Here is a 27,631-nt window from a genome sequence, read left to right as displayed (position 1 = left end):
CATGGCTGAGTGTCTACCATACGGCCAAGTTCACAGGTACCGGTGTAGTGACGCGATTGGATATACCAGCAGGCCGACTCCCTTACATATGGGAGAGCCTTGTTTCTCTTAGCAGTCACCAAGAACACACCTAGAGACTGTCATACAGAGGCCCAGGGCAACTCACTGAACTAATAGCATGGAATGATAAACACCACGGAATAGAACTAACACAGTCACCTCATTGCCTAAGTGCAAAATGGAAAAAAACAAGGATACCAGCTTTAGAAACATTCTTTCTTTTGAGGGGGCACCGAGTTTCACTCTGTCACCCAGGGTGGAGTGCAGTGGCCTGATCTCGGCTCACTGCAACCTCCACTTCCTGGGTTCAAGCAATTCTCCAGCCTCAGCCTCCCGAGTAGCTGGGATTACAGGCACGTGCTACCACACCCAGCTAATATTTTTGTATTTTTAGTGGAGACGGAGTTTCACCATGTTGGCCAGGCTGGTGTTGAATTCCTGACCTCAAGTGATCCACCCGCCTTGGCCTCCCGAAGTGCTGGGATTACAGACATGAGCCACTGCACCCGGCCTTAGAAGCATTCTTTATAGATTTTTTTCCCTTCAAAAAAAAAAAAAAATCAGAAATAGGGGAGATACAAGGGTAGGTTTTAAATTATATAATTTTTAAAAAGATTTAGCCTTTTAAGAGTCAGTCACTGGGGCTCTGCCCATCTCTGCCAGAAATGCAAAATCAATGTGGGAAAAGTGGGACAGGGAGAAAAACCATAAAGCCAGAAGAAAAATGAAAACAAAAATCTAACCACATAAACACATGGGAAAAATCTAAAGAAATCACGTTTGGGCTAAGACTCAGAAAGGAAATTTTTACATACAAAGAAAGATACCAGCAGGATGAGAGAAATCACATTCCAAACTGTCTTGCTCCTATACTTCCTCGTGGAGACCTTTCCTCCAACAAAACTGCCTCCCAGGGGTGGATCCCGGGTGTGTGCAGAGGATGAAGCCTCCCATGTGCACGAAGCTCAGTCCCTGCTGCAGTACAGGGCACCACAGGCACCCCCAGGCCCAAACCTCCCAATGCTGTTGTACAAGTTCACGAGTGATCAGGCTCAGGGCCTCAGGTTCATGTCTAGGTCCAAGAGTCTATAATTCCAACATCTACCTAATTTTATTTTATTTTATTTATTTTTATTGGTTTTTTGAGACAGAGTCTTGCTCTGTTGCCCAGGCTGGAGTGCGGTGGCGCGATCTCGTCTCATGTCAACCTCTGCCTCCCAGGTTCAAGCGCTTCTCCTGCCTCAGCCTCCCGAGTAGCTGGACTATAGGCACGTGCCATCACATCCGGCTAATTTTTGTATTTTTAGTAGAGATGGGGTTTCACCATGTTGGCCAGGCTGGTCGCTATTATTTTTAAATAAACCAAATCTTCTCACTTCTATCAGCTTCACTATCCGGAATTGTAATTTAGTAGGCAGTTTTCAAAGGGAGGGCTTCTGGTCATGGTTTTCTTCAATTGTGTTTGCACCCCAGATCCCTTGGGTGCCTTATTTTTATTTTTATTTTTTTAAGAAAAACTTACCATTTATTACCTTACTGTAAATCACAAAAATCGCCCATGGTAATTGCAGTGTAAATGCTGGAAAAATTTTTGATTGCCCGAAAGGATTATTTCTTTGTAAAATATTAGAGGAAAAACTGGTTTTTTTTCCCCTAGAAAATTTTCTAATAAAAATGAAGAATTTTTTTTTCTTTTAACTTTTATTTAAGGTTCAGGGGTACGTATGCAGATTTGTTATATACCTCTATTTGTGTGTGTATATATAAATATATGTATATATACACATATACATATATATGTATATATACGTATATATATGTATATGTGTATACATATATATGTATATATACGTATATATGTGTGTATATATACGTATATATGTGTGTATATATACGTATAATGTATATATACGTATATATATGTGTATATATATGTATATATATATACACATATATATATACGTATATATACATATATATATAAATAACCTCGTGTCATGCGAGTTTGGTACACAGATTATTTTGTCACCCAGGTACTACGCCTAGTACCCAATAGGCATTTTTTTCTGATCCTCTCCCTCCCCGCACCCCCTACCCTCAAGAAGGCCCCAGTGTCTATTGTTCCCCTCTTTGTGTCTGTGTGTTCTCATTGTTTAGCTCCCACTTATAAGTTAAAACATGAGGTATTCGGTTTTCTGTTCCTGTGTTAGTTTGCTTAGGATAATGGCCTCCAGCTCCATCCATGTTGATGCAAAGGACATATTGTTCTTTTTTGTGGCTGCATAGTATTCCATGGTGTTTACGTACTACATTTTCTTTATCTAGTCTACCCCTGATGGGCATGTAGGTTGACTCCATGTCTATTTTTAACTACACAGAAAGATTTGAGATCACAAATAGAAATCAAAAGAGCACTAAGTCATGCATCTTAAAGTTCCCCAAAACAGAGAAGTCTGGCTTCCTCATGTAGCAAGCGTGTGCACACCTACCCATGTGCACACATACAACATGGAAGGTCCACGGATGCAAAGGGGCTTTACCCACCGTCAAACCTCCTGAGCCACTTCTATGTAATTTCGACAGCAACAATAAAAATTGCCCTTCTAGCAGAGGGACTCTAGGAATTAGCTGGTAATAATCATGAAATGGTTTAAAGAGCTGCACTATGTCTCAGCAAGGCCCATCATCATCATCATTACTGTGAGCCTAAGTTCACTTTGCCATTTTCCCACTGTGATTTTATGTAAAAGAAAGCACATCACCAGTTCAGGGGGAAAAACATATTTCATCCCATTTTAAAGGTATTTCTCTTATGAAGATGAGCCTCACGGACAAATAATGCACTGCCCAAGGCTCCTAGTCAGACACTGTGCATCAACGCTGCCGTTTTGTAAGGCAGAACAATCTTTTGCAAAAAACAAGACCAGCATGAATTGCATACAGAGTGTCAGCAGGGAGAAAAACCAATATTTCTAAAGAATGAGTTGATTAAAGAAGGGCTGAGATAGCAGGGTTTACTTTGCTTCTGTGCAACAACACACTGTATTTGATATACCCTGCAAGAGAATCACATCAAAATGCTGCCCAGAGAGAAAAATATGATTAAAAATGTAATCAGCATGCTTATAGCTACCAGGTCCAGGTCTTTCACTGGCATGCTATCACATCTTGCCTGGATTCACTCTAAAATTATTTTGAAGGCCAGGCCTGGTGGCTCACACCTGTAATCCCAGCACTTTGGGATGCCAAGGTGGGCAGATCACGAGGTCAGGAGTTCAAGACCAGCTTGGCCAACATGGTGAAATCCCCATCTCTACCAAAAATACAAAAATTAGCCAGGCTTGGTGGAGCATGCCTGTAATCCCAGCTACTCGGGAGGCTGAGGCAGGAGAATCACTTGAACTCGGGAGGCAGAGGTTGCAGTGAGCTGAGTTCATGCCATTGTACTCCAGCCTGGGTGACAGAGCAAGACTCCATCTCAAAAAAAAAAAAAAATGATTTTGACATTCTAAAACCATTCGGTGTCATCCAATTCAGACTCGAGAAGACAGCGAAATGTTCACACTGAGAGCAACAATTCAGACCAATTAAGCTGGGGCCTGGACAGGCTGTGAAGACAGTGTTGATCAGCTTGAAAGTAAGGTAGATTATTTAAGGGAGAAATAGCAAATGAAATATAGACGTTGGAGCCAGGCGTGGTGGCTCATGCCTGTAATCCCAGCACTTTCGGAGGCCAAGGTGGGCGGATCACCTGAGGTCAGGAGTTCGAGACCACCCTGGCCACCATGGTGAAACCCCGGTCTCTACTAAAAAAAAAAAATTAGCCAAGGATGATGGCACGTGCCTGTAATCCCAGCTACTTGGAAGGCTGAGGCAGGAGAATCACTTGAACATGGGAGGCAGAGTGAGCCGAGATCGTGCCACTGCACTCCAGCCTGGGAAACAGAGCAAGACTCCATCTCAAAAAAAAAAAAAAAAAAGAAAAGAAAAGAAATATAGACGTTAGGTGTCCTCACTTTACTACAGGCATTCAAACCAAACATCTCCAACTGGCTACTATCAGAGGCCAAGTTTATATTTTGAAACAATTTCCCAGAAAACCGCAACTCTCAGAACATCAAGAAGATCGTGCACTTTTTTTGCAAGCTTTCTTTCTGTGAAGTAGTTTCAGTGGGAATGTCCCATGGAAAGAACTGATCAAGTTATGAAAAAAAAAGTTTGCCTTGCTTAATCAACAATTGCGATGTACTCTCTGAGCTCAAGTCTTCTCTGCCCCACCCTCTGAACTTGGCCCCACTCTTGAACCAGGAAAGCTATCTTCAGGACCCAGCCATGCACCTCTAGTTGCTTATAATCTAATAAGAGAAGTAAGATAGATGGATAATATGTAGGTAGGTAGGTAGGTAGACAGATAGATAGATAGAAAGAAACAATTCTAAGCATCGGTGCTATCGAGCTTTAGGAATGGTGCAAAAAATAGGGGCTAAAGTAATATCAAGAATGAGTCCCCTTCACTCATTCCCAACTGGGGTAGGCACTGAGGACTTCCTGGAAGAGGTGACGTTTGTGTTAGGTATAATTACTACAGGTAAATTTCTACAGGTGGAAGTGGTAGGGTTTTGGCAGGAAGGGGAAAAGGCAAGTAATGGAGGAAGTGATTCTAGGTGCAGGAACAATTTGAACTAAGGTGGGAAGGGTCCAGGGCTGCACAGAGCAGTAATGAGAACAGCTTGTCTGAATCAGAGGGTCGGTGGGAGTGCAGGAGATCAGGCCAGCAAGGCAGATGGGGCCTCCTCTTGACCAGCACCTCACTGTACAACCAGTCGCATCACCTCACTGTACAACCAGTCGCATCACATGCGGAAATGATTCACTCATAACGGCTCAACCTCTCTCCAATTAACTGTCCATTTTCTGTGTAGACTTCCAAAAAAGGAAAAATACGATAAAAACACCACCTTAGCAGACATAAGTTGCTCATCTACAGAAAGTTTGGCCTCAGATCTCCAGAGATTATTTAGATAAAACACAATAAAAATATCAATGATCTCTCCATGTTTTACATGGAAAAAATGAGTGGGAGTGAGGAAGCATCACACGTGCAAGCACATATAAAATTTCAGAGCTAGAGATAATGTTATAGATGATTTGGGTTAGCTCCAGGCTAAAATAGAAAATAATGGTTTCGGTTGAATAGCACAGTGTCAGGGTTTTTCAACAATCTGTTTCAGCTTACTTAGACAACTTGGTGATTCTCTAGCTCTTGTAACAAAACAACTGATATCAATGAACAATGCAAAACACATTTTTTTAAAACTATCAAAATTTTATTTTCAAGATTGGAGAATAAGGAAAATATAATATTTATACCCCTTTTGTTGCAATATGAAAATCTATTTTATCTCCTAAAAGCTGAGGATGCCCGTTCAAACATTCTCTGAGCACATAACCCAGAATCAGGAGCATCAAGAAGTAATAGTTATACTCTTAGAAGAACCAATGTCCATCATGGTGATACAACTGTACCCTCAGATTGGGCTTTTCTTAAAACCATGATCATCTGATCCAATCCAGAGCATGCCATGGGTAGCAAAGTGGGAGCCGTCTACTGGGTGCAGGCCATAAGCGAGTTCACCAGCTGGAAGGAATTTAAATCCATCAAAAGCCTGGCCTAGGCCGGGCACAGTGACTCACGCCTGTAATCCTAACACTTAGGAAGGCTGAGGTGGGTGGATCACTTGAGGTCAGGAGTTCAAGACCAGCCTGGCCAACATGGTGAACCCTGTCTCTACTAAAAATACAAAAATTAGCTGGGCATGGTGGTGCATGCCTGTGGTCCCAGCTACTTGGGAGACTGAGGCAGGAGAATCGCTTGAACTCGGGTGGCAGAGGTTGCAGTGAGCCAAGGTCACGCCATAACACTCCAGCCTGGGTGACAGAGCAAGCCTCTGAAAAAAAAAAAAAAAGCAAAAAAAAAAAAACCCAAAACAACAACAACAAAAAAAACCTGACCCAAAGTCTATTTGTTATCTAGCATCGCCAAGGACAGATGAAAGGAAGAAATGTCAGTGATGAAACACTCCCCTTCCCCAGGGACCTCTCCCAGTGTCCTCTCTTGGTCCAACGCTGAGCCCAACATGTCCACCACCTATCAAACAGTTCACTTGCTCTTAACAGCAACCTGTGACATAGGTGGGCCACTGTTGTCCAGTTGGCCCTCCCAATGTGCCTGCAAACCAAGCTCCCCTACCCCCTCGAGGATCCTGGCAGCTTCCCCTTTTTCCTCTTTGTGTGAGGAGAGTCTAACCCAGCAAGGGCTGTCTACTTTCACTCATGGAGGTGGGAAGGCTTGTCTGATCAGATTCACATTGAAACCACAGAAATGGCTCAATCATCAAACCACCACCAGCCTTCCAGCTCTCTCTGGGCCAGGAGGGGACCAGGGAAGTGTCCACTTGGGCAGGCCCAGTGCACAGCTTTGTTTTTGCACAACTCTACTTCATACATATCGAGTGAATTCTTTCCCTTGGCATATTTGTCCTGATAACGACTTGATCAGGCTTAAAGGTAAACACCTCCATGCCACTTCTGTTTACACCTTTGAGAAGTAGAGCCAACCTCCTGTGAGCTCAGAAGCTTTTGGCAAAAGCGATGGCTAACGAGGTATTTAAACTGAGGGCTGTTCCTGTGGAAAAGCCTGCAAGGGCACTTCAGAAAGGGCAGGGGCACAAGGCAAATGCCAGCAGGAGGGCATTTCCAGGGCCTGAGAGCCATACCAGGGGCTGCCTGAGAAGAAGGACCTTCCACTCCCCCTGTTGGAAACCGATTGTCAGAAATCAATATCCCAAAGGTGGTGATATCCAACTGAAAATATGAACACAGTAAAAAAAACCTTAAGACACATAAAATAAAAGCAAACTGTTACACTGCACTTAGGATGTGCCAATCACAGTTCTAAGACATTTATATATCTGTGTTCATTTAATCCTCAAAACACTCCTATGAGGTAAGTACTATATCCCCATTTCCCATAACTGGGGGCACAGAGTGGGTATGTAACTTGCCCAAGGTCACACAGCTGGTTAGTGGCTGAGGTGGGACCTAAATCCAGGAAGGTGGACTCCAGAGTCCATGCTCCTAATCACAATGCCATGCTGGCTTTCTGACAGGTGGGTGATAGTGAGGATTACAGGGAGGAGAGATCTCCAGCCCAACACAGTTGGCTGACATTATGTCTCCCCGCGGACCTTTCCTGGGTGTCACTGGGTTGGCATGGGAACCAACCCAGATCATGGATCTGGTGCACCTGCTAGAGGCTTCATGTAATTCATGGTTTAACATACACACTCTCTTCACTGTTTCACTTCACATGGTCAAACATCTTAAATGAAATGGTATGGAAACAATCTTCCATCTAATTTTTTCTATGACATTTATTAAATATAATGGACACTGGCTGAACATTTACTGTGTCCCAGGCACTATTCTAAGTGTTAGGGATATAAAGATGAACTTTCTAGAGGCTGATATTTGGAGCCAGTAATACAGAAACAACAGGAAAACAGCAGAGTTTAGACAACAATATGAACTAACAGTTTCCTTCATTCCTTCTTGGAACCCCTCTAGAAATCGTAAAGGTACCATTCTTTGACTCTCTTGTGTGTGGACAAGGCTAGTGAAAGCCAATCCAGTCATTTACTCCATGGAAGGTCACTTTCAGCAAAATGATTAGAAGTAAAGAAAATAGAATGTGAAAACAGAAGTCTTAAATCTGAACCTGGAATTGCCATTTAAAAAAATAAATTATAAAATTAGCATTGTGGTTAACTTTGGGAAAAGGTAAGAGAGTAAGATTGTGAGATTGTTCTAAGAGAAACACAACAGTGTTGGTAAAATTCTAGTTCTGAGACTTGGAGGATTTGTGACTGCTCATTTTAGTACTATGCTTCCTAACTTACAAAGGTTTTATCAAATAATACATAATAAAAACTCTATCATTGTTCAATTTTTTAAAATCATGATTGCTTCAAAGTAGAGAGTACTGAAGACTTAATGTATTGAACATTCCTGAACACATGTTTAATGCAAAGTTTGCCAATGACGTGGTCTTAAATTAGAAACTTCTTATTAATCCAGGATGTGGCACTGAACCTAATTACCTAGTAGCTCTATTTTAAAGACAAACTAATTTAAATAGACAGATATATTAACTGAATGACAAAGGGTATTTAATTAAAGTCTACTAGAATAAAAACTCACACCACCAAAACATAACATAAAATTGTTAGCTATTTTACTTACCTATGTCAAAAGAAAGTTAACGTCGTTCATACAACAGTATGACAAAACTCAAATATACTAGTGGAAAAGTGGGAAAAACCTTTCTACGTTCCTGTTCCAGTACCATAAATAACTGACAAAGATCCTAGAGGCAAAAGACTGTTACAACTTTCTAAATATAAATAAATATTGTGGCTGTATGGTGCAGAGCTATGCTATGGTTCCATATACCACAGGTCTGGAACAGAGAAAAATTTCAAATAATTATTGTAACCCATCTTTGTCAGTGTCTGCTTAATAAGGACTGTTTAGCCAAATGAGTTTTTTTTATAAGGGTGAGTTTAAAAGAAAAGAAATAAATGTATCAAAAAAATAAAATAAATTTTGCCAATATAGGCCAAGAAAAACAAAACATAGATGGTTTTAGGACATTTCTACATTTATGGATTTATGGAATATATTCAAAAATCAAAAGTGTTAACAGTTTTTTGGTGAAATCTTGAGGGTTATCTATATTTAAGATAATGTCTGCACAAACAACAACTTATTTTCCTATTTGTGTTTTGTTTTGCTTTTTGTTTGAGACAGAGTCTCACTCTGTCACCCAGCCTGGAGTGCAGTGGCACGGTCTCGGCTCACTGCAACCTCTGCCTCCTGGGTTCAAGCAATTCTCCTGCCTCTGCCTCTCGAGTAGCTGCGATTACAGGTGCACACCACCACGCCCAGCTAATTTTTGTATTTTTAGTAGAGACGGGGTTTCACCATGTTGGTCAGGCTGGCCTCGAACTCCTGACCTCAGGTGACCACCCCCCTCAGCCTACCAAAGTGCTGGGATTAAGGCATGAGTCACTGCGCCCAGCCTTATTTTCCTATTTGGATGCCTGTTATTTCTCTCTCTCACCTAGTTATTTTGGCTAGGACTTCCAGTACTATGTTGAAAAGAAGTGGCTGAGAGTGGGCATCTTTGTCTTGTTCCTGATATTAGAGGAAAAGCTTTCAACCTTTCTCCACTGAGTATGATGTCAGTGTGGGTTTGTTATATATGACCTTTACTGTGTTGAGGTACATTCCTTCTACACCTAATTTGTTGAGAGTTTTTATCATGAAAGGATGTTGAGGTTTGTCAAATACCTCTTCTACATCTATTGCGATGATGATTTTTGTCCTTTATTCTGTTAATGTGGTGTATTATATTTATTGACTTGCATATGTTGAACCATCCTTGGATCCCAGGGATAAATCCCACTTGATCATGGTGAATGATCCTTTTGATGTGTTGTTAAATTCAGTTTGCTAATATTTTGTTGATAATTTTTGCATCTATGTTCATCAAGAATATTGGTCTGTAATTTTCTTTTCTTGTAGGGGCTTTGTCTGGCTTTGCTCTCAGGACATGCTGGCCTCATAAAATGAGTTTGGAAGTATTCCTTCCTCTTCAGTTGTTTGGAAGAGTTTTAGAAGGATTAGTATTGGGTTGTCTTTAAATGTTAGGTAGAATTCAGCAGTGAAGCTATCAAGTTCCGGGCTTTTCTTTGATGGCAGACTTTTTAATACTGATTCAATGTTTTTACTCATTATTGGTTTGTTCAGGTTTTCTAAGTCTTCATGATTGTCTTGATAGGTTGTATGTGTCTAGGAATTGACCCATATCTTCTAGTTTATCCAATTGCTCATGGTAGTCCCTTATGATCCTTTGTATTTTTAATCGTATCAGATGTAAGTCTCCTCTTTCATTTCTGATTTGAGTCTTTTTTCGTTTTTAGTCTATCTAAAGGTTAATTTTATCTTTTCAAAAAACCAACTCAGCTTCATTTATCTTTTCTATTGTTTACTAGTCTTTATTTCATATTGCTGTGATCTCTATTATTTCTTTCCTTCTATTAACTTTGGGCTCAGTTTGTTCTCTTTTTTTCTAGTTCCTTGAGGTTAATGTTAAGTTGTTTATTTGGGATCTTTCCTCTTTTTTGATGCAAGTATTTGTTGCTATAAACTTCCCTCTTAGGACTTGTTTTGCTGCATCCCATAAGTTTTGATATGATGTACTTCCATTTTCATTTGTCTCAAGATATTTTTAAAATTTCCCTTTTAATTTCTTTTTGACCCACTCATCAAAGAAGAAATTGGTTGTCTAAGGGCATGTTGTTTAATTTTCACATCTTTGTGAATTTTTCTGCAATTCCTCCACCAAAAATCTGTTAAAACTAATAAACAAATTCAGTAATGTTACAGCATACAAAATCAACAGTGTTATTTCTATATACTAACAATCAGTGTTGTTTCTATATACTAGCAGTGAACCACCTGAAAAATAAATCAAGAAAACTATCTCATTCACAAGAGTTACCAAAAAATACTAAAATACTTAGGAATAAATTTAACCAAAGAGGTGAAGGGTCTGTATGCTGAAAACTATAAAACACTGATGAAAGAAATTGAAGACATGAATAAATGTAAAAATATCCCATGTTCATGGATTGAAAGAATTAATATTGTTAAAATGTCCATATTGCCTAAAGTGATCTACAGATTCAACGCAATCCCTATCAAAATTACAATGATATTTTTCACAGAAAAAAAAATCCTAAGATCCATATGGAACCACAAAAGATCCCAAATAGCCAAAGTAATATTGAGCAAAAAAAGATGGAGGCATCACATTACCTGCTTTCAAAATCTACTAGAAAACAATAGTAATCAAAACAGTATGGTACTGGCATAAAAACAGACATATTGGCCAATGGAACAGAGAGCCCAGAAACAAACACACACATTTTCAATTAATTTTCAACAAGTTTCCTAAAACACGCAAAGGAAAAAGGATAATCTCTTCAATAAATTATGCTAGGAAAACTGGATATGTACATACACATGAATGAAATTAGACTCTCATCTATGCCATATACAAAAATCAACTTAGAATGGATTAAAAGTTAAATGTAAGATCTGAAGAAGAAAACAAGGGTAAAAGCTCCATGATAATGATCTGGAAAATAATTTTTTGGATGTGACCCCAAAAGCACAGGAGACAGAAGCAAAATAGACAGATGGGGTTACATCAAACTGAAAAGCTCTGCACAGCAAAAGAAACAATCAATAGAGTGAAGAGACAACCTACAGAATGGGAGAATATATTTGCAAGCCACAAACCTAATAAGGGGTTAATATTCAAAATACATAAGGAACTCAAACAATTCAATACTAAGAAAACAAATAACCCAATTAAAAAATGAGAATAGACATTTCTCAAATGAAGACATATGAATGGCCAGCAGGTATATGAAGGAATGTTGCATATCTCTAATCATCAAGGAAATGCAAATTAAAACCACAATGAGATATCACCTCACACTTGTTAGAATGACTGTTATCAATAAGACAAAAGATAAGTGTTGGCAAGGATGTGAAGAAATGGGAATCCTTGCACACTGTTGGTGAGAATGTAAATGAGTACAGCTATTATAAAAAACAGTATGAAGATTCCTCAAAAAACTAAAAATGGAACTACCATATGATCCAGCAATGCATCTTCTGGGTATATACTCAAAGGAAAGGAACTCAGTATGTCAAAGAGACATGTGCACTCCCATATTCATTGCAGTATTATCACAATAGCCAAGATATAAAACAACCTAAGTGTCTATTAACAAATGAATGAATAAAGAAAATGTGGGGCTGAGCACAGTGGACCACACCTGTAGTCGCAGGACTTTGGGAGCCTGAGGCAGGTGGATCACCTGAGGTCAGGCATTCGAGACCAGCCTGACCAACATGGTGAAACCCCTTCTCTACTAAAAATACAAAAAAATTAGCTGGGCATGGTGGTGGGTGCCTGTAGTCCCAGCCACTCGGGAGGCTGAAGCAGGAGAATTGCTTGAACCCGGGAGGTGGAGGCTGCAGTGAGTCTAGATGGCACCATTGCACTCCAGCTTGGGCGATAGAGCGAGACTCCGTCTCAAAAAAAAAAAAAAAAAAGAAAAGAAAATATGGTATAGGTTGAATTTCCCTTATCCGAAATGCTTGTGACCATTAGCACTTCAAACTTTTTTTTTTTAAGATTTGGGGATATTTGCATATAGATAATGAGGCATCTTGGAGATGGAACACAAGTCTAAACATGAAATTCATTTATGTTTCATACACACCTTACACATGTAGCCTGAAAGTAATTTTACACAATATTTTAAACAATTTTGTGCACAAAGGAAAGTTTTGACTGTGTTTTGACCATGACCTGTCACATGAGGTTACGTGTGAAATTTTCCATTTTTGGTGTCATGTTGGCACTCAAAATGTTTTGGATTTGGGAGCATTTTGGATTTGGGGTTTTTGGATTAGGAATGCTCAACCAGTAAGAATAATGTAAGTATTCCAAAATCTGAAAAAACTCCCAAATCGAAAATACTTCTAGTCCCGTGCATTTTGGATAAGAGATAGTCAATCTGTACTATTCAGCCTTAAAAAAAGTAGAAAATCCCATTATTTGCAACGACACAGGTGAATCTGGAGGACATTACGTTAAGTGAAATAAACCAGGCACAGAAAGACAAATACTGCATAATCTCACTTATATGTGGGATCTTAAAAAGTGAAACTTATCGAAGAAGAGAGGAGAATGGTGGTTACCAAGGATTGTCAGGGAGGGAGTCTGGGGAAATGTTGGTCAAAGGACACAAAATTCCAGTCAAACAGGAGGAACAGATTCAACAGCTCTATTGTACATCATGACGACTAGAGTTAATAACAATATACTGTATTCTTAAAAATCGCTTAAAGAGTAGATTGTAAGTGTTCCCACTCCCCAAAAATGATAAGTATGTGAGCTAATATATGTGTTAAATAGTCTGATTTCATCATTCCACAGTGCATACATATATCACATACCATGTTGTATACCATACATATACACAGTTTTGTTCATTAAAATGTGACTACTACTCTTAAAATGAATCACAGATTTTTGAAAGCACCAGTTATCTTGTTATCTTTGCTTTTCAAAGCATAGTGCCTGCAAAATATTAATTTTATTCAGGAAGCAACACAATATGGCACAGTCCATCACAGCACTGGTACACAGCACCTCCCATCAACACTATCAGGGATACAGTTGGCACTGGTTTTGTCTGCACCTCGCTCAATAAATGCTGGAAAATTTCCTAAGTTCCTAAGAGCAAAGCTGCCCTTTGTATCCACATGTAAGGACCACAGAAGTGCCTCTCCCATTAGGCCCTTCTTCATTTTTCTGTAGTAAGTTTGTGGAGTCACTGCTTCTAGAGCATGTGCTTTCAATCACCTTTCATACAAAAAGTAGCATCTTGTAGCAAAGGGGCAAGAATAAGGAAAGGAGAAAATCATTTATAGGTTGATTTTCAGGAGAGTCACATGGTAAGTGTGGATTCTGGCTGAACAGGAGTGCATAATTGTGTTTTCTCAGCCCGCTCCCAGAAGCAAGCCTCCACTCCACTCCACTCCACTCCACTTATTATTTACTAGGTCAAGCAGCATAGTCTGAAGTCGAAACCAGAATCTCAGCACTTGGTCCTGGAGACACGTGCACCTGCTGGATAAACATTTATCTCCCTGTGGAGGGACCATCCCAGTCCTCCACATGGAGATAAATGTCTATCCAGCGAGTGCACGGCTCTACATGCCCAGGTAGAAGGGGGTTGGTTTCAAGGCCCCAGGTCTCCTCCTGGGCTGATGGGTCACCCACCCTGGGGAAACCCGTTTTTACCCTGTAGCTGGATCCCGCAGCCACAGTCAGCCCCTAATAGCCACCACGACTGAGAGGCCCACGGAGACTGCTGAGGCTGCAGGACATCCTGACGGGAGACAGGCCTGAGCACCCCGACCCTTCCTCAGCTCACCCCAGAGGCTCCCTTGGTTGGTGGTGGAGCAAGCTGGGTGGGGAGAGGGGGTGCCAGGACTGCTCTTCCTAGGCGCAGGTGGACACCCGCCCTGCCTTTATGTGGGTGCGCACTATTGGCCACGTGCATGCTAATCAGAAAGTAATGGTGAAAACGCCCAAGTTTCACCCGGTGCCAGGCACTGTCCTGAGCAATTTAAAGCATTTCATTTGATCCTTAAGAGGAACTCCGAGGGAAGGGGCCCCGAGGGAGGGAGCATTGGAACCCCCACTTCATAGAGGAGGGAATGAAGACCAGCTCCCTGTATCTCGCCAGAAAACATCGGCCACGCTGCCTCTGAGGGGCATTTCAAAGGCTGACACGATCTAACTTTTGTTTCATTCCCTCTTGTCCGGCTTCCAAGACCGTCTTCTCTCCCTGGATGTTTTATAACCAGTCCGCTCAGCAAAGTAGGTTTGGTTTTCTTACAAAGGCAGCCATTTTCCCAGCTATTTCGGGCCCTCGAACTCTTTAATTTGAGCTAGCTCCCTCCTGTGATAACGTCTTCCTTCTCATCGAAGGCAGCATTAACCGACGCGAAACCGCTTTGCACAGATGCTGGAATTGCCCTGTGAAGACCCGCTGTGCAGTGCAAATTTCCTTTCCTCGGGGGTTCTGGATGGGGAGGGGGCAGCAGGTGTGTCTGGTGTCGGCGGGCGGGGGAGTCCAGCCCACACAGAAATCATCGGGAAAATGTGAACGCTGCAGGCCTGCCCACCGTAGTCAAAGCTGAGTCCCTCATGAGTCCTGTTAGTTCGTTCACTTGACAGACACATCTTTGAGCCCCTCCTGCCAGGCGCAAAGCGCACTCTGCGGGGAGAGCATCACAGTGCAGATTCCTGGACCCCGCGCCAGTCCCATCAAATCAAAGTCCTGGGGGTGGGGATACGAGTATCTGAGCTTTAAATTAGGTTCTGGGAGAATCTGAAGACCATGGACCTCTGTGTCAGGGGCTGGAAGAGACCTGAAAATGCCAGGAATGAAAAGCCATGTTTCTCATAACCCGGGTCCTCAGGTCCCTGGGAGAGACTGACCTGGTAACCCACCACTAACTACCGAAGACGACTGACCGGTTGCTCCACCAGCTCTCCAGGCCAGGTCTGAAGGGCCCTCTACTCCTTTCCCAGCTTCACCAGGCCTGCTCACACGTGGAAGCCACCATAACATGTGTGTGTATAGACTTTACTGGCCAAAGACCATGTTCTATTAGTTCTGCTTTCTAAAACACTTAAACTTATCTCTTGCCCAGTTTCTTCCACTGGGTTCATGAGCTGGAGACAATCTATGTAGTATTAGCCTACCATGATATTAATGTATCTATTTTTAAATTTTCTTAATAGTTTCTGAGAGTGCCAATAAATGCATTTAGGATATTTTTCTGAAGTTTTTCTATCTGTAAAATAACAGTGTTTAAAACTATATAAATAACATTGCAGAACATTCATAATTTAACAACTCTGATACAACTGCCATTTTTCATATTTTCAAATCCAGTCTTTTGTCACCTGTGTTTATTTTAACATACTTGTGGTCAATGGATACCTTTAGCTTTTTGACACTTTTTCAATCCATATACTATCATGGGCATTTTACATGTTGATACATAATCTTCCTTATTATTTTTATAGCTGCATAACATTTCATGAAGTCATTAGGTCAGTTTACTTAATCTCAGGAGCGGTGGCTCACGCCTATAATCCCAGCATTTTGGGAGGCTGGGGTGAGTGGATCACCTGAGGTCAGGAGTTCGAGATCAATTTCCTTAATTATTCTCCTGTTTTTGGACATTTAATTTTGGTTCCTTCTGGTCTTTCAAATATATAAGTAGTAGCATTTTAACACTTATTTCCTTCTCTTAGAATAGAATTCCAAACCTTGGTTTGTCTAAGGAAAATAGGATCAAAAGAAAGTGAAACACTGGACTTTTTTGGCTATGAGAGAACATAATTTTTCATCAGAGAGTACCTGATAGCTTATCATTTACTGGACACTGCTGTGCCAGGCTCATGGAATCCTCACAACAACACACTTTCAAGTAAGTGTTAGTCTCCATTTTGTAGAGGTAACGTACCCACACATCCGCAGCCAGTGAGTGGTGGGCCTGGGTCCTTCTGGCCTGAAGCCCTCCCTGTGGTAATCCACAGTAAGAGAGAGGGAAGAAGTGACAGAGGGCAGGGAGGGACACTTCAAGAGACTTGTGATGGACATGAGAGCAGTTTGCCAAATCTTTCCGGCTCTGCTCCACTTCCGGGCACCTGGTGGACTTCGCTTCTGGCCCCTGTGATTGGGTAGTGCCATACTGAGCTGTGAATGGCGGTAAGGTGAGTCACTTCCAGATCAGAGCACCTAATTGCAGGTGCAGTATCCTCCAGGACTCTCTCCCTCTGCCACGATGACCTCAACATTTGACATGATCGTTCCATCAGCCTGGGGCCCAGAGTGAGGAGCTGCAGGGCAGAATCCCAGGCTGACCTGCAACAGCCACAGAGATTGAGCAAGAAATAAACTTCTGTTGTCAGGAGTCACTAAGATTTTGGAGTTGTTTGTAACCACAGCATAATCTGGCCCATCCTGCCTGACGTCTTTCAACTTCCAAAATGATTATTGCGTAAGATTCCCCTACATATAGGCAGCTTCCTTCATAAAGTGATTTGAGGAGTACCTAGGGCACAACTGCCCCAAAAGTCTGCCTGAAATACCTACTAGGAAGGACATTCATTTGGGTGAAGGACTATGGAGGGTAACACAGTGTACAACCCTAGTCATTCACACCTTTACAGACACAGGCTCATCAACTCCATATAAGAGAGGGCAACAATTTGGTGAGCTGTGTTTGGGGATAGGATGAAGAAATGTTTAGGGCCCTGAGTTCTTGCCAGAGTGAGGACAGCCCCTTGGAGTTCAGAGTACCATGCTGGACATGTGGGCAGCTGCCTGCTGTCCCAGCTGCAGTAGGCTAGATTCTGCTGCCAGATTCACCTAGCCAACAATTTTGCCTTTGGCCATCTTGTCCCAGAGAGATGAGATTCTGTCATTCACATTAAGACCTCTTCCCTCCCAGAAATATCATCTCCTGGGAAGATGGCCCTAGGGGAATAGAGACCTGGGTTTTATAGCCTTTGTCCAGGGCTCAGATGCAAGCTCTGCCATTCACCAGTTAAATGATCTTAAATCCTGCGCCACGTCTGAGCGTCAAATTTTTCACCCATTAAATGAGAATCAAAATATCTACTTTGTAGGATGCTGGACTAATTAACAGTAAGAATGTGCTTGGCACACAGTAGGTCCTCAATAAATTACTCCTACTGCTGTTGTTATAAAGCAAGTGTCTTCCTAGGCTTATCTTCTCCATAAAACAGGAAATCAGCATTACTCCTCCAATGAAAGCAAGACGACTTCACAAAAGAGCAGGGCCTCCTTCTATCTGCTTTATCATAAACTTGGACAATCATTCTGAAAACATACTTTGTCTTTTGGGATCACAGTGTTAAGGGGAGCTTCTTGCTATCAAGAGACAGCTGTTTGCTGTAGTACTCATATAAATGCCACATGTTTGCAATCCTTGAGAAGAACCTTCTTTCTAACTGGACAGGCACTGTATCTTCAGCAGGACCCAGCAATTAAGGGGAAGGCTTGTGCTGTGTAAGCATGTCCTCTATACTGGAAGCCCTTTAACAACAGAAGGATGTAAAATATCACAAGGAATGGGCTTTTGAGAATGTGCAGTGCTGTCACCATCCCTGCTACCTCCGCGTTCAGAGCCAGATTCACTTTAGTGCACACTGGACATTGATGATTTCCTAGACGAATTAGGTCAGAGGGGCTGATGGAAGCCAAACTTTGCCTGAGGCTCCCTCCAGTGAAGCTTGCTGCCTGCCCTGTCTTCCCCTCTCCAGCCCTCCACTCAGGTTCTTTCCCTGGTGCTGCCCTTTGCTCTAACTCAGGAGTTGTTAGGTTATAGTTTTCTTCTTATAGTAGTGATTTTTCCAAACTTTTTGGAATGTTGACAACCTATCCTTGTTTTTCTGATGTGATGCTTTTTCTCTTATGCCTAAAGTGCTACATAACACACACAATTATTTAATAGGATTTAAAGTCTTCCAGGAAGTATTCATAGGAACCCCAAAGTGGAACCAACTCAAATATCCATCGACCGATATATGTATAAATATGATGCGGTCTACTCATACAACAGAATATTATACCGCCATAATGAGGGATGAATCACACCTGTAATCCCAGCACTTTGGGAGGCCGGGATGGGCGGATTACCTGAGGTCAGGATTTCCAGATCAGCCTGGCCAAAATGGTGAAACACCATCTCTACTAAAAACACAAAAATTAGCCAGACGTGTTGGCAGGCGCCTGTAATTCCAGCTACTTGCGAGTCTGAGGCAGGAGAATCGCTTGAACCCGGGAGATGGAGGTTGCAGTGAGCCAAGATCATGTCACTGTACTCCAGCCTAGGCAATAGAGTGAGGCTCCATCTCAAAATAAATAAATAAATAAATAAATAAATAAATAAATAAATAAATAAATAAAATGAGGAATGAAGAACTCATAGATACTACAACATGGATAAACCCTGAACACACTATGCTGAGTGAGAGAAGCCAGGCACAAAAGGCCACATAATACATGACTCCATTTATCTGAAACGTCCAGAATAGACAAATCTATAGAGACAGAAAATAGATTAGTGGTTGCCTAGGCCAGGCAGGGGTGGTGGGGTAGGACAGGGGGAGCAACTGTTGGTGGGTATGGGTTTCTTTTTAGGGCAATGAAAAGGTTCTAAAACTAGAGAAGAGTGATAGTTGTACAACTCTGAGTATACTAAAAGCCACTGAATTGTGTACCTTAAAAGGGCAAATCTCACGGCATGTGAGTTACATCTCAATAAAGGTGCTGTAAAAAAATCTTGCAATGCGAGAATTTTATGACCTCCTTCAAAATAAATTTAAAAACTCGGATGGTGTTTCCAAATTAGAGATGGGAACATGCCTTATGGGGTTTGCAAACTCAAACAGGAGAAGTAGGCTGGGTGGAAAGGCATAGACAAGGGTAGGAGCCTTCAGTCACCTGGAGAATGAGCCTCGCCATGTGAGGGCAGCTACTGCGCAGTTCCCACCAGACCTCTCAGGCCCAGTATTGCCAGGTTTTACTTTTTTTTTTAACATTTTTTTCAAGAAAAAAATAATAATTTTTTTTGTTTTTTGTTTTTTGAGAAAGAGTCTCACTCTGTCGCCCAGACTGTAGTGCAGTGGTGTGATCTCGGCTCACGAGCTTTCATCTCCTGGGTTCAACTGATTCTCCTGCCTCAGCCTCCCACGTAGCTGGAATTACAGGTGCCTGCCACCACACCCAGCTAATTTTTGTATTTTTAGTAGAGACGGCGTTTCACCATGCTGGCCAGGCTAGTGTCGAACTCCTGGCCTCAGGTGATCCGCCCACCTTGGTCACCCAAAGTGCTGGGATCACAGGCGTGAGCCACCATGCCTGGCCAAAAAAACAAAAGAATTTAATTTTAGTTGAAATTGTCTTATTTTGGTTTTTACAACTAATTCAATTTTTTAAATAACACATATTTGATTTCTGCATTTACTGCTGAGTCAACAAATATTCCTGAGTGCCTCCTGTGTGCCAAGCACAGTCCTAAACCCTGGGAATCCACAATGGCCAGGGACGCAGGTATGGGCTGTGATCCTGTCAATGGGAGGGTGCTACTGTGGAGCAGATGGCCCTGTACAGCACGCACCGAGCTGTCCTTGCTGCATGGCACTTGGGGCCCTGCATTGCCATGGGAACCAGCATTGCTGGCAGCTGCACTTACCCAGGGAGAGGTAAGCCAGCATCACAGCAAGCCACAGGGGCCCTCTCCAGTCCTCCCTAGAGAAGCATGAGTGCGCTCAGAGAGGCAGCTGAGGATCAGGCCAAGGTAGAAGAAATTCTCAGGCTGTGGGGCCCGCCTGCGAGATGCCTATCTTCCCATATCTCTCTCTCTCTTTTTTTTTTCTTTGAGACAGAATCTCACTCTGTCGCCCAGGCTGGAGTGCAGCGGCACCATCTCGACTCACTGCAAGCTCCGCCTCCCGGGTTCAAGTGATTTTCGTGTCTCCGCCTCCCGAGTAGCTGGGATTACAGGCACCCGCCACCATGCCCGGCTAATTTTTGTATTTTTAGTAGGGACGGGGTTTCGCCGTGTGGGCCAGGCTGATCCTGAACTCCTGGACTCAGGTGATCCACCTGCCTCAGCCTCCCAAAGTGCTGAGATTACAGGCATAAGCTATCGCGCCCAGCCCCCACCTCTCTCTACCAAGTTCAGACCTCTGGAGAGTGACCAAGGCACAGAGGCCAACCTGCCCTCAGGGGTAGAATCTCCTGGTACGTGACATTTTAACGAGAGCCTCATGGCACTACACAGAAGACTGACCTTGAAGATTTCTTTTTTTTTTTTAGCATCTCTTGCTAAATAGAACGGCATTAACTATCCAGATGCCATGGTTCAATCCAGACTCCCTAGGAAAGAAGACTCTAAGTCATCCATTTTATTTCATTTCCCGTTTTGTGTGGTTCCTGGGGAGAATGCATTGTTATGGGGGTGGCCATTGTTTTAATGGGCTTGGGCATTTTTACCACACTCAGTAGGGACTTTCTGTCCCCCAAGGGATCTGATCTCAAGGAGACAATTCTCAGAAAAGCTCTCATAAATAACAGTGAGTCAGAACCACAAAATTAAGATGTTTTTAGTTTCAGAGTAGGCACCTAAATGTACTCTACTTGGTTTATGACAAGTTAAGTATAATCTGAAACTAACACAATCTAAAATGTAATGGCACAACAGGAGAACTGAACATGTTTGTGTTTTTCTAAAAAGAAAATTAAATCTTTTTTTTTCATTGGTTCAACCCAATAAACAACCATTAAAATGTAAAAAAAAAAAAAAAAAAAAAAAGGAGAAAGAGAAAAAAACACGCTGCTTTTTAGAATGTCACAGGGTAGGTTAGATGGCTGCAAATTCTTTGCTGCTCCCAGAACTTGCATGTGACAGAAGCACAAGCCTGGGTCTTTCAAGGCTGGCTCAGCTTTGGTCTTGGTTTCTTGGAACACTGGCCCTAGAGGCTGGTTACCCAAGACCACCCTGCTGCGACGAAGCCACAGCTGGCCCGCCCTGAGCTGCTCTGGTCACAGCTACGTACGAGAGAGATTTGTGAGGGAGGCAGCCAAGGGCGGACGGCCCTGGCAGCCAGGATCAGGCAGAAGCTGCATGAAATGGCCTAACCAGACAACGCCCAGCTGAACCAAGTCAACCCACAGAACCAGGAGATAGTAGAACAAAATTTGCTTCGGGTCACTAAGTTTTGGGGTGGCTTAAAGACAATAATAGATCATTAGAATAGGCAGGAAAAGAGAAAGTGATTAATTTTCATAGATTCATTTACAAGAGGGAAAAGCAGTTAATCTGGACCAATGATAGCTTCCCATACATTCACCCTAAAATCTACTTCATAATATACAGGTGTAATTTGAAGAGCACAAGTAACCATTAAATAAGTCAATAATATTTACTGAATACCTACTATGTACACAGCTAAGAAATAGAATATCTAATCAGGAATTATCTAATTTAATAAGTCCTGGTCTGAATGAATGAGGAAACTATGAACTATAACTCTTTTTAGTCAGAGGAGAAAAGGCAAATAAATGAATTATTTCAAAGTCCTAAGATGAAAGATACTATTCAGCATATATATTTAAGAACAAGGTTATCAAAGTATGTGTATTAAAATATACATGCAAACGGAATATTTCAGGTTGTAGTCTTCTCAAGAGCAGGAAGCAATTCCATCCAACCTCTAGAAACTTCAGAACTCTAAGGTTAAAGAAGGATTTTCAACATATACATGTAGTTGTCACGATTAAATACTTAAACATGGACTGAACTTCTATTACAGCTTATGTTTTTACCTTTGCTTACTACAACTTTTAAAAGTTTCATCATTAGTGTTAATTTATTTTATTTTATTTTATTTTTTGAGACAGAATCTTGCTCTGTCACCCAGGCTGGAGTGCCGTGATGCAATCTCAGCTCACTGCAACCTCCACCTCCTGGACTCAAGTGATTCTCATGCCTCAGCCTCCTGAGTAGCTGGGACTGCAGGCATGAGCCACAATGCCTGGCTAATTTTTGTATTTTTTGTAGAGATGGGGTTTCACCACATTGGCCAGGCTGGTCTCGAACTCCTGACCTCAGGTCATCCGCCTGCCTCAGCCACCCAAAGTGCTGGGATTACAGATGTGAACCACTGTGCCGGCTGGTGTTAATTTTCAGATCTGACTAATGAAAGGTAAAGCGGGGAGACATTGGGACGAAGTGCCAGCACCATCTGCTTAGCTTGAGAATTATTTTATATCTAAGAGTATATTATCCACAATAGCCATCTTAACCTGGCAAGACCTTCTTCAGGTGGGAATACTGGATGGAGCTGCTGTCTTACATTCCTTTCTGATGATTCTTCCTGTAGGCTCAGTCACTGTCAACCCCTCTGGTGAAGAGTTGGGGGTGATAGAGAGCACAGCACTGCTATGGATATACAAATGTATAGGGGCAGGGCTACACATTTTGGGGTGCTTTTAAGACCTCTGGAGGTCTTAAAATAATAATAATAGCTCATTAGAATAGGCAGGAAAAGAGAATGTGATTATTTTGCATAAATCTTCATTTATAGCAAGAGGGGAAAAAATAATGAATCTGGACTATTCAATTGTTTCTATTGAAAAACCAATTTCAATTGTTCTATGCCATGTTCCAAACACCGAAGAGACAACAGAAACAACAGGCTGTGACATTTCTATTTTCTTATGTTCTCAGGTCTTCATTTTCCAAACTAAGCATTTCCCATGGAAGGATCTCATTTCCAGCTGCCTCACGTGCATGTCTGAATAGCCAACAACTCGTGTAATAAACTTTCTATATAACATGCACCTACCTACTTGAACTCAGCCGACATAAGAATCTTTCTGGAAAAGAGACTGACTCCTAGCTACAATTATCTTTATGCACTTTTAGGAAATTTTATTGGTAATGAAACAGCAGTATTTTATTCTTGGTAATTCTGTGAGGGTCACAGTTAAACAATTAAACAGCATTAACCACCACTGTACTGTTCGACACAACATCCAGCCCCCTTAATGGGTAACTTCAGCTGAGTCTGCAGAGACAGCCATGAAAAAAGGCAGTGAAGGGCAGGAAGAGGCCCCCGCCAGGCCCTCCAGGGCTGGGGGGCACTGGGCTGGGCACTTCAAACAGAGAACCCTGGATTCTTTTCCCACTTTGTGAGGAGCCGATTTAAGGAGCAGACAGCTAAGGGAAGATTTATAAACACAATAATTTTTGTTTCTAAGAGTTATAATGCAAAGCAGGGATAGGCATTCTCCTCCAAAGAGGTTCTCAAAGAGATCCTCTGAAGCCAGAGAATACCACATTTCTTTGCCTAACCCAAAAGTCCTCGGAATCTTCATTTGTCAGCAGAAGCTCTGAAAACAAGGCACTGCACTACTTTTTTTGCCTAATGTGGTGGAAGACAGCCCCATGACAACAAAGAGAAAGAAAAATCGCTTTTCTTATAAGTCAGAACATAATGCAGGCTTATGGCTCGAGGTAACTTTGCTGTTGAAATCCTTGAAGGATCCACAAGGCACTCATCGCTCCAGTTAGTGTTCATCTTGTGGAAACCTACAGTGAATCTCACTAGAAAATATACTGGAAAAGAATAGAAAGGGTGAACAGGCATGTCCGTCAACTCTGAAACCCCAGAGCTAAGGAGACCACTTTGAACTGAAGGAGGCAGATTCAGGGTAAGTAAGAAAAAGAGCTAACTTTACACGATGGTGGAAAATTCATGACAACACAGAGGACACTGAAGAGGCTGAAACTATAAATAAGCTCAGAAACTATGTGAACTCACAGATCTATAGTGAGTTGTATTAAGGGAAATGAGGTTGTCTGATGCCCCCTGCAGAGCCCCCTCTGGTGCCACCGTCGCATGATAGACCAGGATCTGACCCAACAGGGGTTTAAAAAATTTTTTTACAAAGCATGAAGATGATCCTAAATTTGTGGCAGACCTTTAGTGTATGAGGATCTCAAGACCCAGAACCGCTGTGCCTCTAGTGGGGGCACGGTGCTCCGAGGCCAGTTTCCATGACTAATAAATCCTTCATTCTGCAAGCCGTGACTGTGGCAGTGCACCCAGCGGCTGGATGGGAAGTGCAGGAACTGGCGTCCCCCACAGGGTGGAGAGGGTATCACCACATTGCCACCTGCCCACCCTCTGCTGCCCAGCTCTGTTCTCCAACAGGCATCCTCTGCTTTTTATTTCCTATCTAGAAGGAGAATATGTCTGTCTATCAGGGTGGGGCGGAGGCTGCTAACTTCAAGACCCTAACCCAAGGTGTAGCTGCTGTTACAGAGATAACTAGGAACTCAGGGGCAGGACTAGGGAGGCTGCATTTCACTAATCCAAATGCCTTTGCCTCTGGGAATGACATGAGTGATGGGGCTGGGCCGTAACGGACTGTACACGTACAATGCGTTCAGGAAAGCAAAGTTCCAAAACCCACAGCAATCTGCCCTGCTTCCTTTGTCTTGCTCCAGCTGTATCCTGATGTCCTTTTAAAGCTATTTTTAGTAACAATATTTATTCAACCAAGAGGAACAAAAATTTACATCAAATGCATTCACAGAGGGGCACGAGACTTTGCCCACAGATGGCCTTTCAAAGGCATCTTTCCCCATGCCGACCCCTTCTCACCTTGTATCAGTGGTGGTTAGAAGCGTGAACTCCTGCCACAGTTTAGTCAAACTCAATGAGATACTGTTTACGGTGGTGGCCACCTGGGAATTTCCCAGGCCCCTGGAGGACGTGTGTTTTTCAGGTTCTAAAAACAAAAGTCCACAGCAATGACATCAGAGGCCCCGCTATGAATTGCATGTGCATTTTAACCAGGCCTTACTTTGCTGCTTGCTATGCCAATTGCTGTGGCTGCCAGTCAGGAAAAGGAAGCCTTCTCGAGCACATGCATGCTTTATGCATTGTCCTATACAGGAAAAAATAGATAAAGGGATGATCTGGGTGTCTCCTGTTGCCAACCCGTGCTAGCAGGGAGAAACACAACTGGGCCTAGGACCGTGTAAGAAGGCCCACATCGGCCTGCACCCCTGCATCTTCAGGGAAACCCTCCTCGCCTGCTGTCTCTAACCCATCCCCAGCCATAAGCAAACGGGGGATGTTTCCACACGGGGCCCAGTGTTAGTCACATTATTTCTGCCTCCATATAACTTAAGGGTACAACTAAGAACTGCAACTCTTGATTAAAATGACACACATTCCAGACTTCTGAGAAGCTTTCCTACAGAAGAATTCCTGCATGGCATATGGGAAATTGGATTTGAGGTCATCTAAATGATTCCTTTCCTACATGGAGAGTCTATTGTTTTATTACTCAGGCAGCGAGCTTCTTCAGAACTCCTTGTCATAGGAATTCAAGAATACCTATGTGGGTATCAACAGCACTCTTTGGAGAAGCAGACACAGAAAGATATGCACAACATAGGAATGACTCTTTTTTTTTTTTTTTTTTTTTTTTTTTTTTCCAGAGAGAGAGTGAGTCTGGCTCTGTTGCCCAGGCTGGAGTGCAGTGGTGTGATCATAGCTCACTGCAGTCTCAACTTCATGGGCTCAAGCAATCCTCCCACCTCAGCCTCCCAAGTAGCTGGGAGTACAGGTGCACACCGCCATGCTTGGCTAATTTTTTACATTTTGTTTTGTTTTGTTTTTTGTTTTTGTTTTTGTTTTAAGATGGAGTCTCACTCTGTTGCCCAGGCTGGAGTGCAGTGGCGCAATCTCGGCTCACTGCAACTTCTGCCTCCCGGGTTCAGGCGATTCTCCTGCCTCAGCCCCCCAAGTAGCTAGACCTGGCTATTTTTTTTTTTTTTTTTTTGTATTTTTAGTAGAGACAGGGTTTCACTATGTTGGCCAGGTTGGTCTCGAACTCCTGACCTCAAGTGATCCTCCTACCTCAGCCTCCCAAAGTGCTGGGATTACAGGCATGAGACACCACGCCCGGCCTAATTTTTCAATTTTTAGCAGGGACAGAGCTTTTGCTATGTTGCCCAGGCTGGTCTCAAACTCCTGGCCTCAAGTGATCCTCCTGTCTTGGCATCCTACAGTGCTGGGATTACAGGTGTGAGCCACCATGCCTGGCCAGATGACTTTTTAAAGGACATCACAGTTTGATGTTGACTGATCAACCCAGAGGAATGAAGTGGACACCTTGCTCATTAGCTGTCCCCCCATCTACCCCTGCACCCCACTTGGGGCGCACAGGCCACCCCACCACCTGCCAGGCTCACTGAGCTTACCCATTCTAGAGGCTCCCACCCTGAGGCTCTCTCTAGCTACCTCTGCTCCAAGCTCCCTGGAAACCCCAACTCTTCCCTTATCAGTTTACAGGCAGCATTCACCAGCGAGGGCCGCCCACACGTGTGCAAAGCTTGTTCACACTCCACTGTCACACAATACAAGGTGTCTTGTTCTTCTGTGACTCATACTGTCCCTCCAACAAAGTCTCCAAACTTCCAGCCACCACCACAGAAACAAGACGTTTGCCTCCCTCCTCACCCTATGGAAAACATTAACAGCTGGTGAAGAAGGGGATCTCTTATTTTGTTTCTAAGTCTTGCTGCCATCATCAAATGGTCACTTGGAGCTCTGTCATCTAGGCAGAACAGCAGGAGCTACACCTTCTACATTATGATGAACGTCAACAATTTGTTTTCCAGAATGTTCTTTCATCAACACTGCTGGAGAAATACCTTTATTCTGCATTTATCTACGATGTAATACAGATCAACACTACTCTGGTAAACAGTTAAGAACGGTGGTTCCTGGCCATTGCATGGATATATGTATAGAAACTATCTTGAGACCAGCCTGACCAACATGGAGAAACCCTGTCTCTACTAAAAATAAAAATACAAAATTACCCAGGCATGGTGGTGCATGCCTGTAATCTACTTGGGAGGCTGAGGCAGGAGAATAGCTTGAACCTGGGAGATGGAGTTTGCAGTGAGCCGAGATAATGCCACTGCACTCCAGCATGGGCAACAAGAGCGAAACTCCGTCTCAAAAAAAAAAAAAAAAAAAAAATCCACCCACATTTGCTAGTACCTGTATTTTACATCTTTTGGTTATTGAGGAAATACATAGTTATATCGTAAATTGAGTGATGCTTTTAATTGAGTTTATGTTTGATTAGTCACAACAGGATCTATATGCACTTGGAGAAGGCACTAGCACTCACATCTACACAAGATGCGCCACTCATTG

The 27,631-nt window shown here is 42.6% G+C and overlaps 1 protein-coding gene across 3 annotated transcripts in view, besides 4 other annotated features; it reads right to left on the bottom strand.

The window, feature by feature from the left end:
- ZDHHC14 (zDHHC palmitoyltransferase 14) overlaps positions 1-27,631 on the bottom strand; it is a 296,968-nt gene that overhangs the window by 191,857 nt on the left and 77,480 nt on the right. The gene's annotated exons all lie outside the window — the stretch shown is intronic.
- Positions 19,332-20,119: an enhancer, noted in NCBI's record as "H3K27ac-H3K4me1 hESC enhancer chr6:157887214-157888001 (GRCh37/hg19 assembly coordinates)". NCBI's record gives its function as "activates a minimal SCP1, AML or CMV promoter by ChIP-STARR-seq in naive H9 embryonic stem cells {active_cell/tissue: H9 hESC(naive)}" and the evidence as "EXISTENCE:reporter gene assay evidence [ECO:0000049][PMID:30033119]".
- Positions 20,954-21,454: an enhancer, noted in NCBI's record as "H3K4me1 hESC enhancer chr6:157885879-157886379 (GRCh37/hg19 assembly coordinates)". NCBI's record gives its function as "activates a minimal SCP1, AML or CMV promoter by ChIP-STARR-seq in primed H9 embryonic stem cells {active_cell/tissue: H9 hESC(primed)}" and the evidence as "EXISTENCE:reporter gene assay evidence [ECO:0000049][PMID:30033119]".
- Positions 21,455-21,955: an enhancer, noted in NCBI's record as "H3K4me1 hESC enhancer chr6:157885378-157885878 (GRCh37/hg19 assembly coordinates)". NCBI's record gives its function as "activates a minimal SCP1, AML or CMV promoter by ChIP-STARR-seq in primed H9 embryonic stem cells {active_cell/tissue: H9 hESC(primed)}" and the evidence as "EXISTENCE:reporter gene assay evidence [ECO:0000049][PMID:30033119]".
- Positions 24,590-24,649: an enhancer, noted in NCBI's record as "active region_25332". NCBI's record gives its function as "activates an Ori minimal core promoter by ATAC-STARR-seq in GM12878 lymphoblastoid cells {active_cell/tissue: GM12878}" and the evidence as "EXISTENCE:reporter gene assay evidence [ECO:0000049][PMID:35858748]".

The sequence above is a fragment of the Homo sapiens genome, chromosome 6, assembly GCF_000001405.40.
Source record: "Homo sapiens chromosome 6, GRCh38.p14 Primary Assembly".
NCBI classification, from domain to species: domain Eukaryota; kingdom Metazoa; phylum Chordata; class Mammalia; order Primates; family Hominidae; genus Homo; species Homo sapiens.
This window is presented reverse-complemented; position numbering and strand designations above follow the sequence as displayed.